At 37.5% G+C, this 20,239-nt stretch overlaps 1 protein-coding gene, 1 long non-coding RNA gene and 1 pseudogene across 8 annotated transcripts in view; 1 reads left to right on the top strand and 2 right to left on the bottom strand.

The window, feature by feature from the left end:
* Window positions 1-2,724: 2,724 nt before the first annotated feature.
* LOC124901343 (uncharacterized) lies at window positions 2,725-18,860 on the bottom strand. Its single transcript, XR_007059648.1, has 2 exons — window positions 18,762-18,860; window positions 2,725-3,360 (listed from the first exon to the last, which is right to left on the bottom strand). It is a non-coding gene; the product is annotated as an uncharacterized LOC124901343 (long non-coding RNA).
* RPL26P20 (ribosomal protein L26 pseudogene 20) lies at window positions 12,617-13,054 on the bottom strand (annotated as a pseudogene).
* The window catches only part of FILIP1 (filamin A interacting protein 1), a 201,942-nt gene continuing 200,661 nt past the window's right edge, over window positions 18,959-20,239 (top strand). For all 7 annotated transcript variants that reach the window (NR_110608.3, XM_005248715.6, NM_001300866.3 and 4 more), the window contains exon 1: window positions 18,959-19,345. The gene's annotated coding sequence lies outside the window, so the exon portion shown is untranslated. The remainder of the gene's footprint in view (window positions 19,346-20,239) is intronic.

The raw sequence follows: 20,239 nt of genomic DNA, 5'->3' as shown, positions 1-20,239 counted from the left end.
CTTCTTGTTTGGTCCTTCCATGATTCCAATTACTCAACATTTTTGTGTTTCTGTTTCTGTCTGGAAATTGCACATTAGTAAACAGAACTTTTTTTGGTTAGGATTATTCCAAATCAACTGAAATAACAATATACATTGAAACACTTTGTTGCCATTACCTGGCACTAAATAGAATAAATAGAACAACTAACCCGTTAGAATGCCCTTGTGAAACATCACAAGCTTTGGGGACCTCTCAATAATCCCTGCTCAATATTGGAAAGCCATTTAGTGCCACTCTAAAACATTAAGACTTGCAGTTTAGGTTTGAGACACTTGAGTAAGCAAGGCCCTAAGTGGAAACTTGATACATAATACTTTTTGGCCTTTCAAAGATAAAATCACAGAACCATAGAATATTTAGAACAAGATCTTAGATCTAAAAACAGCTGACCCTTGACCTCTGAAGATCTAATCATTCTGACAGGATATTTCATAAAGGACATATGTTTAATTGCCTTATCAAGTCTGGGTTAAGTTTAATTTTGAATGACATTAAATACTTTTCTCACTGTAGACAACATGAGTAAGAATGAATAGCCTTCTATATGTTACAGTTACTTTAATTTGCAAGTATTAAACCAATGCACTTTACTTCTACCTTTTCCCTTAAATCATTTTTCCTTTGTAATCTTCTCCTTCTAAAACTGGGCCTTGAGGGTTGCAGGTCCAGGATAAGAAGATAGGTACTAGACTTTAAGAAGACAGTAGAGTTCAAAGCAAGCCTAGTGGAATTGAGAGGGTTTTTATTGTTGTTGTTGTTGTTTTTTCCATTCTCCTTTAGCTTTGATATTACCTGCCAAAGGGAAAGTCTGGAGAACTTGGGTCACAGAGTTTTCCCATAGTGAAGAGAAGATATCCCTTCTCCTATGGCATCTGACTGAGCCATTTCCCTTTCTGGGCATTGGCCTAAAGAGGAGGAGGTATGTTAAATAGTTGTGTGGGAGGCTATTTCCATTTTGGATCAAAAAGAGATTGATTTTTGGGCTAACCTAGACCAACCTGGGACTTAACCACAACAAACTGAACTTGGCTATATAATGTGACTAGGTGGAGTCCGCAAAGTTTAATTTTCCTGGGCCTCTCCTCCATCCCTTGCAGCAAGAACTCAAGAGTTCTTGAAACTTCTGGAAGGGTAACTTGCAAGGCAGCTAAGTTGAGAGCAAGTGGGCCTGCCCTATGTCCTAATTTGAGATTGTTCTATTTTATCTCTGTTGTTTCATTATAATTATAATAGACCTTTTTATCACTCTCACAAGATCTCACTTTGAATGACAAGTTATATTTTAGCCTAGCTAGTGGCCCTGATTAGGTGGGGGTCAACCTGAAGCAGAGGCAGGAGGTGGATTGTTGGGGCAGACGGTTGGATGTAGGAAATGTCACAGATGTGGGGAGCTCTACAGCACTGCTGAGAACTGAGCTAAGGCTCCATTAACCTGGTAACACTACCAGGTTTTTAACAAGCTGGGAACCAGATCAAGGACAATTCCAGAACAGGAGTTTAGTTATGAATGCCAGCAGGGCAAGCAACAACAAAATGGGACTGAACATCAAGCTTAGATTGGGGAACTTTAGTGGTTCTCAGTTCACACATAAACCATAGCCCCCCACCTCCCCCACCGTATGCTCAGGTACCATCTTGGGGAGATGAAATATGTATGGACGTGCATATGTACTGCACACATAGATGTGGTGAAAGGCTGAGAAATCTCTATTTCTTTCCTAGACACGTCAGAACATGGGCCTGTATTCTTATGTGATAACAATGGATTATTTCAATTATCTAATAGGTCTAAATTTTAAGCAAGATTGAGGAAAGTTAATTCCTCCCCTCTAACCATCTGATGGAGGTTTGTGAAGATCAGAGCAATTTCAGTCAAAAAAGGAGTTCATTTTTCTTTGAATATCTGAGTTTCAGTATGCTGGTAAATTTGTGACCCTACTACATGTTTATAAAAGCAGTCTAGTGTACTGATTAAGAAAATGTGCCATGGAGTCAGTCTGCTTGGTCCCAAATGCCAGTTCTGCCAGTTACAAGCTATGTGATCTTGGACTAGTTAACTAACTTTCCTAACTTCTTATTTTTCTATGTGTAAAATGAGAAGAACAATGCCCAACTCCATGTATCATAAGAATTAAATGAGATGTATTTACCAGATAACTATATATCCTCAATGAATATTAGCTGTTGCCATTATTATTCTCTACAATTACAGTTATATATCTTTTTATTTTTGGCTACTTGTAAGTACATATATTTGCATCAATCTTACATCTACTTATAGGATTCAAGCTCCTTTAGGGAATCAGATTTCCTTTATTTTTAACTCACGTATTTTAAATTCGCCAGGTAGTAATGATTATCAATAAATATCCCTTCAACTGTTGACCACAGAAAGCTCAAGTTGTTAATAATAGAATACAAATCATTTTTATTCTTTCTCTAACTTTCAATATAAAATTGATCAGCAAATACTGTATTTTTTGCTTCCAAAATACACTTAGAATCCACTTACTTCTCTTCATTTCCATTGCTACCACTCTATTTTAAGCCATGATAATCTTTCACCTGGATTCCTGCAATACTCTCCTCATTCATATCCTTATTTCCATTCTTGGTCCTCTCCAATGTATATTTGCACAGCGAGTGGTGTAAAGATAAAGCAGATCACATCATTCCCTTGCTTAAAATATGTCAAGGGCTATCCTTTATTTTATAATAAAATTCCACTTTTAAAAAGCCATAACCAATAAGGTCCTAAATTAGGAACTAGAAATTCAAATGCATATAGAGGCCAAATAGGCAAAATGAATGAATTGAAAAGACGGTTGGTGCAGTGGTGAACATGAGGTCACAGGTCTTGTCTCAAGTGGGTAGATCCAGCTGATTGTTGTCCCATTAAGAATACAGGTCCATTGCTGACAGACATTTTAAATTTTTTCAAAATCCAGATGTTTTTATATGATATCTTTTACTTTTCAACTTTTGGCAACTAAATTAAGAAAACACATACATAGCTTTAACCAAGATCCAGGCCTGAGACCTCTCTTCTACATGGCAGGATGCTTATGTAGCTTTCCAAATTTCTCTCTCCCATACTCTGCCATTGTCTTTATGTTTCTTGAAGGTTCTGTGTTCTGTTCCACATCGAGGATTTCCGACGTGCTATTCCTTCTGTCAGGATTACTCTTCCTCTTCCCCTCTATAGTTTGCATGGTCTTCTTCTCCTACAGGTCTCAGTTTAGATGGCATCTCTGTAAACAGGCCTTTTCTTCTTATGGGAATCCCCAACTTAGCTCAGGTATCCTGTAACGCAGAAGCTGAAACAAGGATTATGCACTAAGCTTTATTTGGGAAGTATAATTCCAGAATGGTAAAACTAAGAGAAAAGAGAAATGAAAAGGAGGGAAGGATGGGAAGCAATGCAAGGTGAAGCATGACAATGCTGTCCATGGCTTCACAAGCCATGAAGAAGCACAGCTGGTCACCAGGTATTGACTGTATAAATAAACATTTTCTTCTGTTAGGTATTCTGTGAGGACTGCCAATCTAGAGCTTCTTATTTTAACATCTTTGATTGGGGACTCAAAAAGATTGTTGTATATTCGCTCATCAAACCTACTGAAACCTGGTTTGTAGTAATGAATTCTCAGCATAGTCTATTTTTTTTCTCATCCAAAGCCAGGCCAAGATGGATGTTTTCTTATTTTCCTGTGCCTATAATTTAGTTTTTTTGTTTTTTGTTTTTATTTCAAGTGTCCTAACTTTATCCAGGGGTTTTAGTTCCAGATCTTAATCTCCATGGGCCTGAGGCTTCGTATCCTATCCTATCCCTATCTGGCTATTAAAATCTATTGGTTTCTGAGACTAATACAGCCCCCATACCTGAGAAACCTCATATTCATGGCTCTGATTTTCAGTCCCCTCTTTGGTTTTGGTCATTAGGGGTTTCCCGTAATGTCTTTCATGTCAGCTAGGTTTCTAAAAGAATATTTGTATTATTTTAGCTGGAATTTCTAGGTGTTTTTTGGTGAGGAGATTTTCAGGATTATTAGACCATGGTCCAACATTTTTGGAAACAGAAGTCACACATCGAAATCATGCACTTGTTGGTTTGAGTTTTATCTCTCTCTTCCAAGAAACAGTGTGTTCCATAAGAACAGGAACCTTGCCTGTTGAAGTCTTGTGTCTCACAAAGCACCTGGCACATAACTGGCACTTATAACACATTGACAGAATGAATCTCAATAATGTCAGTGTGGAATTACAGATGTGACCATTCTGAGTTCCAGAGAGTAGTGACTCTGTTTTACTCAGCTTTGTCTTCTCAGACAGTTTAATACAGTTGCAAGAATAGAGTGGATCTTTCCATAGATATTTGGTGGTTATTTTTATTTATATTAAAAAGGAATGATAAAAATCACTAGCGCCTTTAAATTTAGTTTTTAAAGGAATGTTAAGATGGATATTTACAGTGTTATTTTCCTTTTTTCCTCTTCAACTTTTATTTTAAGTTCAGGGGTACATGTGCATGATGTGCAGGTTTGTTACATAGGTAAACGTGTGCCATGGCGATTTGTTGCACAGATCATTCCATCACCTAGGTATTAAGCCCAGCATCCATTAGCTATTCTTCCTAGTACTCATCCTCCCCTGACACCCTCACCCTTTGACGGGCCCCAGTGTGTGTCGTTCACTCCCGCCATGTGTCCATATGTTCTCATCATTCAGCTCCCACTTATAAGTGAGAACTTGGTGTTTGGTTTCTTGTTCCTGCATTAGTTTACTGAAGATAATGGCTTCCAACTCCATCCATGTCCCAGAATGGATTTTTATGGCTGCATAGTATTCCGTGGTGTATATGTACCATGTTTTCTTCATTCAGTCTATCACTGACGGGCAGTTAGGTTGATTCTATGTCTTTGCTATTGTGGATAGGGCTGCAATGAACATATGTGTATATGTATCTTTATAATAGTGTGGTTTATATTCCTTTGGATATATACCCAGTAATGGGATTGTTGGTCAAATGGTATTTCTGGTTCTGTGTCTTTGAGGAATTGCCACACTGTCTTTCACAGTGGTTGAACTAATTTACATTCAACAGTGTGAAAGCATTCCTATTTCTCCAAAGCCTCACCAGCAGCTATTGTTTCTTGACTTTTTAATAAATGCCATTCTGACTGGTATGAGATGGTATCAAATTGTGGTTTTGATTTGCATTTCTCTAATGATCAGTAATGTTGAGCTTTTTTTCATATGTTTTTTGGCCACACGTATGTTTTCTTTTGAGAAGTGTCTGTTCATGTCTTTTGCCCACTTTTTAATTTTTTTTTCTTGTAAATTTGTTTAAGTTCCTTGTAGACTCTGGATTTTAGGCCTTTGTCAGATGGATAGATTGCAATAAATTTCTCCCATTTTGTAGGTTGTCTGTTCACTCTGATAATAGTTTATGATAGTTTCTTTTCCTATGTAGAAGCTGTTTAGTTTAATTAGATTCCATTTGTCTATTATTGCTTTTGTTGCAATTTCTTTTAGAGATTTCATCATAAAATGTTTGCCCATGCCTGTATCCTGAATGGTATTGACTAGATTTTCTTCTAAGGTTTTTATAGTTTTGGGTTTTACATTTAAGTCTTAAATCCATCTTGAGTGAATTTTTGTTTATGGTGTAAGGAAGGGGTCCAGTTTCAATTTTCTGCATATGTCTAGACAGTTCTCCCAGCACCATTTATTAAATAGGGAATCCTTTCCCCATTGCTTATTTTTGTCAGGTTTGTTGAAGATCAGATGGCTGTAGGTGTGCAGTCTTATTTCTGAGTTCTCTATTCTGTTCCATTTGTCTATGTGTCTGTTCTTGTACCAGTACCATGCTCTTTTGGTTACTGTGGACTTGTAGTATAGTTTGAAGTTGGGTAGCATGATGCCTCCAGCGTTGTTCTTTTTGCTTAGGATTGTCGTGGATATTTGGGTTCTTTTTTGGTTCCAAATACATCTTAAAATAGTTTTTTCTAATTCTGTGAAGAATGTCAATGGTAGTTTAATGAGAATAGCATTGAATCTATAAATTACTCTGGGCAATATGGCCATTTTCATGATATTGATTCTTCCTATCCATGAGCATGGTGTGCTTTTCCATTTGTTTGTGTCTTCTCTGATTTCTTTGAGCAGTGTTTTGTAGTTCTCCTTGAAGAGGGCCTTCACTTCCCTTGTTAGCTATATTTCTAGGTATTTTATTCTTTTTGTAGCAATTGTGAATGGGAGTGCATTCATGATTTGGCTCTCTGCTTGCCTATTGTTATATAGGAATGCTAGTAATTTTTGCACATTAATTTTTAAATTAATTTTTAATTTTTATTTTTTTGAGACAGAGTCTCACTCTGTCGCCTAGGATGGAGTGCAGTGGCATGATCTCAGCTCACTGCAACCTCCGCCTCCTGGGTTCAAGCGATTCTCCTGCCTCAGCCCCCCAAATAGCTGGGACTACAGGTGCACACCATCACACCATCTAATTTTTGTGTGTTTTTTTTAGAGACAGGGTTTTACCATGTTGGCCAGGCTGGTCTGGAACTCCTGACCTCAGGTGATCCACCTGCCTTGAACTCCCAAAGTGGTGGGATTACAGGTGTGAGCCATCATGCCCAGCCAATTTTTGCACATTAATTTTGTGTCCTGCGTCGTTGGTGAAGTTGCTTATCATCTTAAGAAGTTTTTGGGCTGAGATGATGGGGTTTTCTAGATATAGGATCATGTCATCTGCAAACAGAAATAATTTGACTTCCTCTCCTCCTATCTGAATACCCTGCCATCTTTACTGTTTCGCAGCCTTCACTGGTGATACTGAGACAGGAGAATAGGGTCTGGAGGCAGGGAACCTAAGTCCAATTCATGTTGACTTCCTAGAAATGAATCAAAAGGAAAACCCTACCTCTCCACCCCAGGTAACAAAAGGATCAGGGGCTATTCCCTTTGCACTGCATTGCAGATGAAAAATGGAAAGTACTTCTGCTAGGTCCCCTCCTGCAACTGATCAGACTGGTCGCGGGCCTGGTCTTCATTTGCATAGGGGTATAACTTTGTAATTCACTTCAGCCTCTAATTGTTCTCCTCCTGCAACTAAACAGACTGGTCATGGGTGACTACTTCATTTACATAGGGTGTGACTAGGAAACAATGGGAAACCTCTAGAGGGTATTTAAACCCCAGAAAATTCTGTAACCAGCACCCTTGAGCCTCTTACTTGATCCTACTCCCACTCTGTGGAGCATACTTTCATTTTAATAAATCTGTGCTTTCGTTGCTTCTTTTATTACTTTGTTTGTGCATTTTGTCCAATTCTTTGTTCAAAATACCAAGAACCTGGATGACCCCTCACTGGTAACAATGCCTTAGTGTTATTTTTCAAAATTTTCACTGATCCCTAAGCTATAAATAATTTTTCATTTGTGTATTTCTTATAGCTCTTCTTGCTTTGCCCATTTTCTTATGTATTTGCCTCCTCTTCATTGCCAGACTCTAAGCTCCTGAGCACCGTTCTTGTCTGATTATTATTATTTTTTTAATCTTCCAATGCAGGGTTTCTTCACCTTAGCACTATTGATATTTTGGACCGGATAATTATTTGTTTGGGGCAGCTATCCTGTACCTTTTAGGATATTTAGCAGCATCCCTGGCCTCTACCATTGGATGGCAGTCCAACCCTCAGTTATGACAACCAAAGTCATCTCCAGATATTGCCAAATGTCCCTTGGCAGACAAAATGTCTCTCACTTGAAAACTATTGCTATAGGGGGCCTTGCACAGAGTAAATGCACCACATTCATTTATTACATAAATCCTATAGCAGATTTTGATTGAATTCCACACAGGCAAACATGGAATTCATGTTTTTTCAGGGGAACTGGTTTCATGTTGGACCAGCCATCTTGTTTGCAGGTCTGAACCGGCACTAAGATGAGCTATGCTCCTGTCACCACTCATTGTCAACTCCCCTTTCTCATTCTCATCTACTTATTTATACTTTGAAAACATCTAGAGTTTATGGTCTTGGTGTGTAGCTTAAGTCTATTACTTCCATAATACATGTATTCATTTTCTGACAAATGGTGTTGGTCAATTTACATTCAAATGCACCTGCTTTACAGATGACGGAATTTCCAAGCACACACACACAGAGAAGTTCAGAATACTTACTATTTGTTTACCTAAATGTGCAAAATTTGGCTTTGGAACTGTAACTTTTTTTTTCTTTCAGCGAGGTTACAACTAATTAAATCAGCAGCTTTTGAAAAAAAAGATTCTTGCCTCTTTACTTTACATATCTGACAATGTTTTCAACAGTTTAGAATTATGTATAAAAACCTAAGCAATAAAATAGGCCAGGCGTGGTGGCTCATGCCTGTAATCCCAGCACTTTGGGAGGCCGAGGCGGGCAGATCACCTGAGGCCAGGAGTTCAAGACCAGCCTGGCTAACAGGTGGTCTGTTAGCCTGTTAACTGGTGAAACCCTGACTCTACTAAATATACAAAAATGAGCCTGGCGTGGTGGTGCACGCCTGTGGTCCCAGATCACCTGAGGCCAGGAGTTCAAGACCAGCCTGGCCAACATGGTGAAACCCCATCTCTACTAAAAATACAAAAATGAACTGGGTGTGGTGGCGCACACGTGTGGTCCCAGCTACTCAGGAGGCTGAGGCAGGAGAATAGCTTGAACCTGGGAGGCAGAGGTTGCAATGAGATGAGATCTTGCCACTGCATTCCAGTCTGGGTGACAAAGTGAGACTCCATCACATATACAATAAATAAATAAATACAATAAAATAGGTTTTGTAAAAAAGATGTTTTATGTTAGAAATGAAGCTTATAACAAGGAAACCTTTTTAGGTAATAAAAATATTTTTAGGCAATGAAAATAATTTTAGATAGTGGAAATTGACGGGGGTGAACCCAACAACACCATTGCCTTTCCTTGCTCTGATGGAACATTCTCGCTTTTAGAGCTGTGGCTCCCCATCATCACAGTGGTGGTGCTGGTGGAGGGTGCAGAGTGGTGGTGGGGTGTGTAGATTAAACACCATTATTCCCACTTGACAATTGAGGAAATAGGCTCAGAGGGATTAAATCATTTTTAAAAATTGTCTTGCTAGTTGGGGTCAGAACAAAGTCTCCTTTTTCCCAGGGCTGTTTCTACCATAAGACATGTTCAGATAGTGATGTCATGTTCTAGCTATTGCTAAGGAAGTGCAAAAAGTGTTTCTCTGTCCTCTATCGCTTAAGGTCAACAACAGCAAAATGACTGAAACTTTTCCTCAGGTAAGCCCTAAAGGAGAAAATATCTCCTCCTTGCATCATGCAGAAATTTCCAGGCAGACCCAAACACAATCGATGGCTCAAAGGGAAAGTGTCACAGGAGAAAGCTACAGAGGCAAATGCAATGATATAATGTTATGGCAAGTTAAGACATTCTTAAGGATAAAAGAGCAGAAAAACCCACATACAGTATGGAAAGCAAAGCAACCATAATTCATTTTGAAGAATCACGAAATGACCTTTTTTCTTTTTTTCCGTGAGTGAATATTAAGAGGAATTTAGTTAAGGAAATTGAATGCCAGATCCACACCAGACAAAATTCAACTATGTCATTTGCTTAATAATTACATTATCCTGAGGCAGACTCATTGAAATCCTGAGTAGTAACAGGAAAGGCAAGTCATACCAAGCACGAATCTTCAAGCCTGCACCTTAGCAACATGTTGGAAAACCACCCCAATAGGAAATAATTTTAAATTATCTTATTTTCCTATTATAAAAAAAATCAATATGAAAACTTTAGAGAACATACAGAAAGATAACCATCGTAATTATTATGTGTAAATATTTCAGATCCACACATTTATACACATATATGTATGTGTATATGTATTTCTATAGAAATACATATGCATAATATGGGGAGGGAATTTCTATATATGTATTTCTATTTTCATATCTGTATCTATATCTATATCATCTACATCTATCTTTAAATAGGATAATGCAACAATACATTTAATGCTGTTTTATTACCTGCTGTTTTCATTTAACTTTCAGTGAGTTTTTTCTAATTCATTAACTAAATTTAATATTTTTCTGCAATATTATTAATATTTTATTAGAGACGAGGTCTTGCTCTGCCACCCAGGCTGGAGTACAGTGGCACAATCATAGCTCACTGCAGCCTTGAACTCCTAGCTAAGCCATCTCCCGCTTCAGCTGAGACTACAGGTGGGAGTCACTGCACCGACTATAAAGCTATTTTTAAGGGCTAAAGATTCAACAAGGAACTTGTAATTATCTTATAAAGGTCAGTTTTGGTTTTTTTAAAAATTACTGTTTTGTAGTTTTCATTGACTTTTTAATTGTCTCACTCTACCTAATGACTCTAATTTCCACATTTATTTTATATTATACTTATTTAACATAAAGCTTTTAAAAGAACGTTCTCCATCATTTCACCATATAGTTGACTTAGCTCATAGTTCTCAAGGTAGGTGACTGAAAGGAAAACTTTGAGACACAAAGTTTTCAGATATTTTGTCATTTCAAAAACACTTTCTTGTCCCTTCCACCTCTCCCAGAAGGTGATTTATTACTTCATTTTCAGATGAAAGAAGTGAAGAATGCAAATATTAAGGATACAAAGGCCGACTCAGCTGTAAGATGGATACCAAATTCAAGTGTTTCTGAACACTTCTCGCCCTGAATTTTTCATCCTGAATGTTCGACCTTTGTGATGACATTTCCTGTTATTTACGAACTGTTGGCCTACAGCTTTTGCTGTCTGGATGCCTTACTTTCTTGATATTTTTTACCTTTAATTATCAGATAAGGCAAGAAAAATATCCTGCTGGTTTTGTTAAAAGTTTTGTTAAAAAAGCAAGGATGAAGCCTCTTTTCCAGTGGTTTTTAAACTAATTGCTTCAGGCTGGCATTTCTAGTTTCTTTACCTTTTTTTTTTTTCTTAAAATTGTTTTTCTTTTTAAAAAAAAAATCACCTTCTTTGAGAATAAACTTTTTTATATTCAATTTTTTTAAATCTCAGTTGCTAATAGTGTATATTAATAGTATAAATTCAATTATCTCCTTTTTTTTTTTTTTTTTTTTTTTGAGATACAGTCTTGCTTTGTCGCCCAGACTGGAGTGCAGTGGAGCAACTCGGTTCACTGCAACCCCCGCCTCCCAGGTTCGAGCAATTCTCTTGCCTCAGCCTCCTGAGTAGCTGGGATTACAGGCGCATGCCACCACGCCCAGCTAATTTTTGTATTTTCAGTAGAGACAGGGTTTCACCATGTTGGCCAGGCTGGTCTCAAACTCCTGACCTCAGGTGATCCTCCCCCCTCGGCCTCCCAAAGTGCTGGGATTGTAGGTATGAACCATTGCCCCTGGCCCTCAATTATCTTCTTAATTATCTAATGACACCAATGGAATTCCATGTGACTTCTATGTAAAGACTCAGATAGTCATAATATTAATTATATAAATAATAACTAACATTTAGTGAGTGTCTATTTATATGCCAGACAGTAAGCATTAAAGACATTTAATTACAGAAAACTTAAAACCTATATGAAAATAGAAAGAGTGTGCAGTATAATGATTACCTGTTTCCCAGCTTTAACAGCAGTCAAGTGATGGTCAATTCTGTTTCATTATACCCTCACCCACTTCTCTTCCTCTCCCCACGCTGGATTTCTTTTTTTTTTTTTTTTGAGACTGAGTCTTCCTCTATTGCCCAGGCGGGAGTGATCACGCCTCCCATGGATTCAAGCAATTCTCTCACCTCAGCCACTGAGTAGCTGGGACTACAGGCGTGCACCACCACACCCAGCTAATTTTTGTATTTTTAGTAGAGATGGGGTTTCACCATGTTGGCCATGTTGGCCAGGCTGAGGAGGGTGATCTGCCCACCTCAGCTTCCCAAAGTGCTGGGATTACAGGCGTGAGCCACCTGTAATCCTTCTCAGCCAACACTGGATTGTTTTGAAGCAAATTCTAGACATCATATTATCTGTAAATATTTCAGAAGGCAAGGACTCGTAGGCATGATATATTTTCAATTACATTTAATTGAAAAAATTTCACTGAATTATAACATACACAAATCATAAGTATACAGCCTGATTAATTTTCAAAATTGAACACACTAGTGTCACTAGCGAGAAACTGAACATTACCAATGCCATAGACACTTTCCTCATGTCCACTTCGAATCGTATTCCCATCTCCTAAGGGCAACTACTGTCCTGACTTCCAACACCATAGATTAGCTTTGTCTCTTTTTGAACTTGATATTTATGGAATCATACAGTGTACTTTTTGAGTCTGGTTTCTTGCACTTAACATTTTGTTTGAGAGATTTATTTACACTGCTGTGTAGTTGTAGATTGTTCATTCTCAATGCTACTGTATGACTATACCACAATTTATTTATCTGTTCAATTGTAGAAAGCATTTAGAGTGTTGCTAGTGTTTGGATATTGTGAATAGTCATTTTTTCCATTTTAGCAGTTTTAAATGAAAGTTTTATATAAAATTACTTTATACCTGCATCTTCTCTATTGTTTCTTCCTTATATATCCCCCTTTCCCTGCTACTTGACAAGATTTGGCTTTCCTTTCAGGGGTCTTTTTTGTGGTCTTCATCTAGTGTTAGCCCAGTGACAACCACCTTGCTGGAGTAAATGCCCACATGGACAGTGGTGCTGTTAGCCTTTTCCTGCTGCACCCATTCAATGTAAATGACATATTTTTTCCCTGTGAACCTGGACTACGTTGCCAGTTTGCTGAACTTTATAGTGTTCTTGCACAATCTGAACTTCATCATCCTTTCACGTAGGCATGGATCTAACATTGTACTTCAGATCCAGCTCTTTGGAAAGAGATGAAGACATAATCTTCCTGCAAATGTGGGAAGGTGCATTGAAATGCTTCTTACAGTTCTGTTTCAGTCAGAAGTCCCAAAGGGATTGGACTTCATTTTGGCTGCTTTCGCTTCGGCAATGGCTGCAAAAGGGAAGAACTGAATAGTCTTAAATTCTTTTATTAATCTTATAGAAGAGGGAAAGGTGGCTTAAGAGAGATTAAGTGATTTGCTAAGCTCACTCAGGTAATAAATAAGGGAGTCTGGACTTAAACTAGCTTTACCCTACTCCGGAATCAAATATCTTGATGTCTGTATTTTTAAGAAAGCCCATTTTTCAGAGTTAAATATATATATATATATATATATAGTGTGTGTGTATATATATATATATACAGTGTGTATATATATATACAGTGTGTGTGTATATGCTGTGTATATATACTGTGTGTGTATATATATACAGTGTGTGTGTATGTGTATGTGTGTGTGTGTGTGTATATATATATATATATATATGTATATACACATATAGTGTGTATATACAAACCTATATACCTTGAGGAGAAAATGCATTGTTCTTTGTGGTTCTATGCTCAATCACTGGCTTTCTGATTCTGTATCTGTTTCTTAAAGAGTAAATGTCCCAACCCCTTTTAAGAAATTGTTAAAAGTCATCCGTTACAACTAGGAACTGAGTATTGAGCAGGAGTAGGTCATGACTCTGGCACAGGAAAGGAAGCAGGAAATAGTCTCAGGAGAAGGTTATCTGATCCTATTGAAAAGTAGGATGCTTGTGATCTGTAAGTGTCTGTAGAATATGGTCCTGAAATAACTTTCAGGATTAGACATGTTCTGGTAGGCTTGTCCTCCAGAGGTTGGCTTATGGGGTGTCAAAAAAACAACAACTTTTAGGCTTTAGTTCTAATAACCCACTTTCAAGCACACAAGCAGAGAAATGAGAATTTTAATGTCTAATACATGCATATAAGTGCTTAATTTATGGCAAAAGCAAAAATATTATTAGTTTATTTAAAACCTAGTCTTTCTCTTTCCTGAAGCGTTGGAAAAATAAATAATTTAATATTTTATGAATATTTATTTGTAGGTGTGACAGTGCTTATTAATTGTCAGGACAAGTATCTATTTTATAATGAATATATGTATATATTATTATAACAGTGTTAGTGCTGTTTCTTTTAAGGTTTTATAAAATCTAAATAGAAGAATAGCTAGATTAATTGAAAATGCAAGTATTTTCAAATTTTGAAAGCTGATTATGTCAAGTGTAATATAATATTATGTTGATGCCAAAGAACTTACTAATGTATGATTTCCCCTACATTGTTTTTTATTTTTTCTTGTTGTTGATTACAACTTTGAGAACACATAGCTCCAAAACATTTTTAAATTGCTCATCAAATCAAATCATAGACCAAAAATATATTTTTAGAATGTAATTTTAGAATTTCATTAAGCATTAAACTCATTCATCATAAAATATCATGCATTGCTTGTTTTAGAAACAATACTGAACAGCTCATATCCTTTGCTTAAAAAGAGACTTTTTCTTAAAGCAATTATCTTCTTTTCAGTCCAATTTTTTTCTTTTCTGGTATTCAACGGGACTTCAGTTCCAACGAGTTTTTATTTTACTATGCTAATCATGAAATGATCCCATCTTTTTTTCCTATCTGCCTCCAAAGCTGTTGGATTTTAAATGTATTTTTTGGTCAAAAGTATATATATTCAGGGATAGTGAAGTTCATATGCCGTAACTCTCAGTGATTGATAAGAACAGGCTACTGTGACTATTGTATATAAGAGGCAGTTAAGTAGTTAAGAACACAAATTTTTGGAACCAGATTTACTAGTTCAAATTCTGGTCCTGCTATTTACCAACTAACATGTAACCTTGGCCAACTTATTAACATCTCTGTGCTTCAATTTCTTGCCTGTAAAATGTGAGATAATAATAATACCCACCTCATAAAGTTATTGTGAGAATCAGTTTGGTTAATATATGTTAAGCCCTTAGAACTCTGTGTCTGGCTAATGGTAAGTGTTGCATAGATATTTTTATTATTATCCTGAGATCTATTACTTTCCTTTGAAATTTTAACAAATTCACTTTTGGGGACCAAGGCGGGCAGATCACTTGAGGTCAGGAGTTCGAGACCAGCCTGGCCAACATGGTGAAACCCCGCCTCTGCTAAAAATACCAAAAAAACAATAAAATTGGCCGGGCATGGTGGCACATGCCTGTGGTCCCAGCTACTCAGGAGGCTGAGGCAAGAGAATTGCTTGAACCTGGGAGGCGGAGGTTGCAGTGAACTGAGATCATGCCATTGCACTCCAACCTGGGCGACAGAGTGAGTGAAACTGTCTCAAACGACAACAACAACAACAAAAAATTAACAAATTCAAAATAATTAATTCATAATCAAATAATTTCTTTTTACGAGTTTTTATATGTATCTAATGATGACCAACTCTGTCCAGAGAGCCTGGAAGCATTTTCTGTATGCTCTATAGTTTTCTTTATCTTTTCTTTAATCTTTTATATGTTCATTTGCTCATTCAGTCTTTCTTATTTATTGAACACTTACTTTGGTGCTTAGGTAGCCAGAAAAAAACAAACTGAAAAATTCTCTGGTACCAGTGAGCTTATATTCATCATCTCAGAGTCAGGCAATAAATGTTAACAGAGAATGTTTGATTGAAAACTTGCCTCATGCCACCCACCCACTACCCCCAAACATTGTTAAAGTAAACATTGTTTTGAAGCAAGTGTCTATTTTTCTCTTCACTGGTATATTAAAGAACTTAATTAACTTATTAAATAACTTAATAAATTATTTTTGCTTTTAAAAATCACTATGCTTATTTAAGTGAACAAGGTGGGAAAATTTGGTTTGAGAAATGGGTGTAGAGATAATGGGTCAATGCTCTTATTTAATTTATTTGCCTTCCCCCCACCCCCCAATAGCATTAATCTATCTTCTTATTGAAAAGTTTTCTTTGGGAGGCCAAAGTGGGTGGATCACAAGGTCAGGAGATCGAGACCATCCTGGCTAACACCGTGAAACTAAAAATACAAAAAAAATTAGCCAGGCGAGGTGGCGGGCGCCTGTAGTCCCAGCTACTCAGGAGGCTGAGGCAGGAGAGTGGAGTGAACCCGGGAGGCGGAGCCTGCGGTGAGCCGAGATCACGCCTCTGCACTCCACCCTGGGGGACAGAGCGAGACTGTCTCAAAAAAAAAAAAAGTTTCATCATGACTCATCCTTGAAGTTGGGATATTCGGTTTTACTTGTAAATTTATCAGAGGTTCTCAGAATGCTCACACTTCTGAGAGGGCTGTGGGAAAGGATGCAGCTGAACAGTAATATATTAACAATATGTGTTGAAACATCAGTTCCTTGTTGACTGTATACAAAACACAAATTTCTAATAGTTCTTAGCAGCACCACTTCCTCTGCAGATTATGTCGGAAATGCTTTAGTCTGAATAATCATTCCCAGGGGGAAAAGCCTTCAAAATAAATTTACTTTATTGCCTGTGTGTGTGTGAGTGTGTGTGTTAGAGAGAGAGAGAGAGAGTCTGATTATTGTAGAATACTGAGTCAGTCATGCACATATGCCTAGTATGATTAAAGAACATAATTTGATGATAGCAACAATATCTAATTATATGAATTATTCTGTATGCTGTGGCTTGTCACCACATTATTTAAAAATAAACTAATAGCAACAATAGACAGCTAATCCAAAGGTTAAGGAAAAACAATGGTAAGGGAATAGGTTTTCATAAAACAAAACAAAACTGAAAACTTTAATTATCTGGATAGTTGTGGAAAAAATAAATCTATCACCCTTTTTTGGCCGTAAGGGCAAAGTGGGTTTTTCCCCTCAGTTATCTCGACATTTGGCTACCACTCTTCTTTGCTTCATTTTGGTCTGGAGATATCTGTAAAGTGAACTCTTAGTAGGGGTGAAATAATATATCCCCAGGGTTATTTTTAGTGGATTTTAACCTGGGGCTGTTGCATTTGGTGTGTGTGAGGGGAAGCATATATATTTTTCAAACAGTAATTTACCCACATCTCACCCCGACCCCCCACTTTTTTTTTGGAGACATGGTCATGTTGCCCAGGCTGGAGTGCAGTGGCACAATCATGGCTCACGGCACCCATGACCTCCTGGCCCCAAGCCATAATCTCACTTCAGCTCCCCAAGAAGCTGGGACTACAGGCATGTGCTGCCATGGTCAGCTAATTTTTTGTAGAGACAGGGTTTTGCTGTGTTGCCCAGGCAGGCCTTGAACTCCTGTCGTCAAGTGATCCTTCCACTTCAGCTTCCCAAAGTGCTGGTGTTAGCCGCTGTGCCCAGCCCCTTTGTAATTTTTTAAAAGTTCTGATGATTCTGAATTATCTCATACTTCACTTATATACTTTCTACCTCTATTAGAACCCACTTTTGGGGACTGTGAATAGATTAAGTTTCTAAAAGATCCATTAGCTCGAGAAGAGTCAGTTAATTTCACATGAGAGCTCTTTCATCTTAATAGAAGTCTCTTTTTTTTTTTTTTTAAATCATGGTTGGCTCAGACTCAGAAAGACTGAGTCTGAGCAAATGCAATTTTACATGTGTATGGTAGTAAATACATTAAAGGGGCAGGGTGCATGCTGTCAGTGTGGTATTTGGAATGAGAAGAACTGAGATGTTTTTGAATGGCTTGAGCAGGTGAGGGTCATTTCTTTAAAAAGAAGGACATACACACACTCCTGATTGAAGTGGCAGACTTTCTCAGAGACATAGGGTTACCCAGCACATAAGCTACTTACTGCAAGTATGCAACTCTTAAAATATTACATCCACACCTTTACATATGCCCTTGGTTCATCTTCAGTTTGCATGTCAAAAAGAGGGTATCTTTAATCTGATAAATTGATCTCAGGAAGAGGGTCAACCTTTATAATGGTATTGGTGAGATTTTTGTCAGGGCCATATTCTAGTTTGTTAATCAATAATGTTTCTCTCTCTCTCTCTCTCTGTGTGTGTGTGTATATGTGTGTGGTGTGTGTGTCTCCCTTCCTACTTTACCTGTGGCCAAGAGGACCTCCTTCAGTTTCCCTTAGTGTTAATTTCACATATGTAATTAGTAAAACGGTCCCCAAAACTAGTTAATTAAACAATTTCTAAAAAGTTTCAATCTCGGCAGATTCATACCGTTTTGTTATGTAGGATGAAGCACATAAAGTATCTTGAGACATTCTTCATGTTGTAGAGACTTGAGGGTTAATGATGAGGCAAGCCTGTCAACAACCAGAGGTATCTCATGTCCTGGATTTCCTGGAGTGTTTACCGTGTGTTACTTTGAATGAATGACCTGAGTGAGGATGCTAAGATTTTCCTTCTTAATGTTACTCCTTTCAAAATCATAATGTTATAGACATTCCTTTATGGTAATATTATTTTAATAACATTCAGGTACATAGCTGGACAAAAGTTTGATATGACTAGGTAAGTGATCTAGCTATAAATGAAACACACCAGTGTCAAAAGCTGTTTGGAAGTGATCTTGTACTCATTTTCACAACCAACAGTTGTGATACACTTTTTTAAGACCTCCATTTATGCAGAAGTGATACACTTTTAAAAAGCATTTTTTATTTCAGAACATTTATCTGAGAGAGCCTAATCGAGAAGAATATTGCATTAGTAAATTGCTCTGCCTAAGACAACTGCTGCTCTGTTTCTCTTCACATTTTAAAACCTAAGTCCCAAATCTCAGTCTGTAGTTAAGAGCTTCAAACAATAATTACCTCTGTGAAATGAGCAGAAGTCCTTAAAAGGGCCTGCCGGTTTTCCCGCAATCTTTTACAGGGTGAGCAGCGCTGTATCCACTGATAACCCAGCTGCTTAGGAACTGAGTAAAGCCGGCTCCAAACTTCTCAGCTGTTGACAGGCTTGACTTGCTGAGAACACTGGTTAAATATAGCACCCGCGAGCTCAGCTCCTCAACATAGCCATTGCTCTGACAGTGTTGTGAAGGGAGCAGAAGAGGAGAAACCTAATCTCCGAACCCAACAACACCTAGCAACAGTAGAAAAAACTTTTAAACAAAAGTCTGGGTGGGAGATATACAACAACTTCCAATTTCTGCTGATCGGGATTTCAGGGAGAAGAAGCTGCTTTCCCTCCTCTCTACTCTGTTTCCTGCATGACTTCAGCTATTGGCTGGTCCTGGGAAAGAAAGTGGGAAAAGCTTTTTCCTCTGTATTCTTTTGGGCTGGATAGTTTTTGAGAACTCGAATCTGTCTTGGGCTGTGAGACAAGCCACTGGGTTCTTCAAAGGATAAACTACCTACATAGAGGACATACCTTTGGTTAAAGGAGCTGCCGTCAGGTAAGACCAAAATAAATAAATACTTACTCTCTTAAGAAATATCTGTTTCCACAAGAAGAGAGTTCTCTCCCATTCTGTTTTGTCTGTTTCCTTTGATTCTTCCTGTTCTATGATGTGATAACACATTTAGAAGTTACGATAACCATTGTGAATTATTTTTAAAAAGTCAGAAACATCATCTCTTCCTCAAAATTATACCAATTCCTTTTTAAACACATAATTTTATGGTGTTTTAGTAGACATCAAAATATTTCTCCCAAGTTAGTGCTCTTCGGCAGGTAACAGAACTATGACAAAGGACAATTTCACATCTCCTTTCACAATTGGGATGGCTAAGCAATGAAAAGGATATCTCCCCTAGAAGTAAAATAACTTTCATTTACTGAAACTAGCTAAGCAGCTTGTGTTTGGTAAATGAGAGGAAAGTCCCGCATGGTGTTTGTATTGCTGTACTTTTTAAACCTGCTGTTGCATGTGTCTCCTTTTGCCTAATTCTCTGATTACACTGGTACACCTTGTGCTGGTTCTGACCTCGTTACACTAGAGTCACCCCAAATGCTTCTGACTGGGCATAAAATATGCCTGGTATTAAATCACTACTCTTGAAGTTGTTGAATATAACTACTCAAGATAATGATATTTGTGTACTTTTAAAAAATAAATCAATACTTGTATTTAGATATAACAGATTCTATTTTTAAAAACTTAATTAGAAAACATTTTCTGTTAAGTTGCATGTGTGTGTGTATGAATGTGTTTACTATAGTGTAAAGGAAATCCTCCTTTCAGCTGATGGCATCTTGTCTCCCCTTCCATGAGTTGCCATGCAATTTTATCAGAATTGCTTATAGTAACCAATTTCATGTTGAATATGACAACTTATGGTTGTACATT

This window comes from Homo sapiens, chromosome 6, assembly GCF_000001405.40.
Source record: "Homo sapiens chromosome 6, GRCh38.p14 Primary Assembly".
Lineage (NCBI taxonomy): Eukaryota > Metazoa > Chordata > Mammalia > Primates > Hominidae > Homo > Homo sapiens.
Note: the sequence above shows the minus strand (reverse complement) of the source record. Positions and strands in the feature narration are given on the sequence as shown.